The 2,881-nt window shown below is 44.7% G+C and overlaps 1 annotated feature.

Moving 5' to 3' along the window:
* Positions 1,714-2,008: an enhancer, noted in NCBI's record as "tiled region #11761; K562 Activating non-DNase unmatched - State 3:PromF". NCBI's record gives its function as "activates a minimal TATA promoter and a strong SV40 promoter by Sharpr-MPRA in K562 cells {active_cell/tissue: K562}" and the evidence as "EXISTENCE:reporter gene assay evidence [ECO:0000049][PMID:27701403]".

Here is a 2,881-nt window from a genome sequence, read left to right on the forward strand (position 1 = left end):
TTAGAAAGAAAACAGAAATAGATATGCTCCACAGTTACAACCTTTTAAAAAGAGGACAATGAAAGGGTCATCCAATATCTTAGACTGTCAGCCAGACGAGAGATAATTGAGAAAGCCATATCTACTCCTATTCCATTTCTTAATGCAGTTCAGTGATTGTCTCACTAGGCATCCACTGTAGCCTAAGATAACACTATGACTGTGGTTATCACAGTGAATTCTGAATTCTTATGTATTTGGAGATAAGGAGGACTATCCAGTTATCTGTGGGGTAATAATATTTTCTGCAGCTTTCAATTAGCAGATCAATTTAGAGATGATAAATTAACCTGGAGCATATTAAAGAAATGTTTCCAAATCATCATGGGAACTAAAGGACTGGATACAAAGTGATCCAGTTAGTACAACCAAAATATGTTTTATAAATATTTTGGGGGACTTGGTTATGTTAGGATTATCTTGTTACTGATGAAGAGAAACTTTAATTTTCATACTGATTATCTCTAGGATAGTAACTTGCTGTTCAGATGAAACAAAATGATAACAATATCCATAGCCATAATGACTCATGATTGCAGGAGTGTGAATCATGTCTAAAATCGGAGATAGCTTTATGTGGTTCAAACCCTGTTTTAAAGCCAAGGTTGTACTTCAATGTTCTTTCTCATGTTACATATCTTTCCCAGTTTGAAGCTACCCAAAAGCTCAAATCATAAACGGCTGTTTGTTAAACTTATAGCCAAATTTACTAGAATGCAGACTATTAAAGAATAATCACCAGAATGCAGACTATTAAAGAATAATTAAAGAAATTGGGGATATAATCAAGATATATTCACTAGATCTAAAGTAAAATAAGAATATAATCTAAGCTAAGAGTCAAGAGGCTTATTATTCAACCTCTGATTGGGGCTGGGATCTCCTGCTGCCAGAGGTTACCACTGGAAGTTGATGTGTGGTTTGGGGATATATGTCTTGACTCCCCAGTTCAGCGGTCCTTCCTGCCCCACAAAGTCCAAACTCTGGCATCTCTTTCTGCCCTTTAACACCAACTAACACCCCACAACATGACAGACACTGTGACAGTGGCTTTGTGCCCTCAGCAGATGGTTTCTGTTCCCATTTCCTTGATGCCCTGTCAGAAGCAGGGTCCACTCCTCCAGCCCCTGCAGCCAATATGGCTTCCTCTAGCCTGTGTCTTAGAACTCACGACTCTTTCTGGAGGGTGGGGGAAGCCTAGTTCAAGTTTTAATGCAAGTTTTGCCTTTATAGAGGCTCGAGGTTGAATTGATTTCTAGGGTATCTTGCTTATCCCATACCAAGGGCTGTCTTTTTAGCTTCAAACTGAGGATATCTAAATATCGGAAGTGGAGGTCAAAATATTAGTAACTTTGAATTAAAAATGAAATTAAAGCAGTTAAAAAGGCTTAGTAAAATGCCACATGGCCTGTTAAGATTCTATCAGCCGACTGGAGGAGCCAAGATGGCCGAATAGGAACAGCTCCGGTCTACAGCTCCCAGCGTGAGCGATGCAGAAGACCGGTGATTTCTGCATTTCCATCTGAGGTACCGGGTTCATCTCACTAGGGAGTGCCAGACAGTGGGCGCAGGCCAGTGGGTGCGCGCACCGGGCGCGAGCCGAAGCAGGGCGAGGCATTGCCTCACCTGGGACGCGCAAGGGGTCAGGGAGTTCCCTTTCCAAGTCAAAGAAAGGGGTGATGGACGCACCTGGAAAATTGGGTCACTCCGACCCGAATATTGCGCTTTTCAGACCGGCTTAAAAAACGGCGCACCACGAGACTATATCCCACACCTGGCTCGGAGGGTCCTACGCCCACGGAGTCTCCCTCATTGCTAGCACAGCAGTCTGAGATCAAACTGCAAGGCGGCAGCGAGGCTGGGGGAGGGCCCCCGCCATTGCCCAGGCTTGATTAGGTAAACAAAGCAGCTGGGAAGCTCGAACTGGGTGGAGCCCACCACAGCTCAAGGAGGCCTGCCTGCCTCTGTAGGCTCCACCTCTGGGGGCAGGGCACAGACAAACAAAAAGACAGCAGTAACCTCTGCAGACTTAAATGCCCGTCTGACAGCTTTGAAGAGACCAGTGGTTCTCCCAGCACGCAGCTGGAGATCTGAGGACGGGCAGACTGCCTCCTCAAGTGGGTCCCTGACCTCTGACCCCTGAGCAGCCTAACTGGGAGGCACCCCCCAGCAGGGGCACACTGACACCTCACACGGCAGGGTATTCCAACAGACCTGCAGCTGAGGGTCCTGTCTGTTAGAAGGGAAACTAACAAACAGAAAGGACATCCACACCAAAAACCCATCTGTACATCACCATCATCAAAGACCAAAAGTAGATAAAACCACAAAGACGGGGAAAAAACAGAACAGAAAAACTGGAAACTCTAAAATGCAGAGCGCCTCTCCTCCTCCAAAGGAACGCAGTTCCTCACCAGCAACGGAACAAAGCTGGATGGAGAATGATTTTGACGAGCTGAGAGAAGAAGGCTTCAGACGATCAAATTACTCTGAGCTACGGGAGGACATTCAAACCAAAGGCAAAGAAGTTGAAAACTTTGAAAAAAATTTAGAAGAATGTATAACTAGAATAACCAATACAGAGAAGTGCTTAAAGGAGCTGATGGAGCTGAAAACCAAGGCTCGAGAACTACGTGAAGAATGCAGAAGCCTCAGGAGCTGATGCGATCAACTGGAAGAAAGGGTATCAGCAATGGAAGATGAAATGAATGAAATGAAGCGAGAAGGGAAGTTTAGAGAAAAAAGAATAAAAAGAAATGAGCAAAGCCTCCAAGAAATATGGGACTATGTGAAAAGACCAAATCTACGTCTGATTGGTGTACCTGAAAGTGATGGGGAGAAT

Source organism: Homo sapiens, chromosome 6 (genome assembly GCF_000001405.40).
Source record: "Homo sapiens chromosome 6, GRCh38.p14 Primary Assembly".
NCBI lineage: Eukaryota > Metazoa > Chordata > Mammalia > Primates > Hominidae > Homo > Homo sapiens.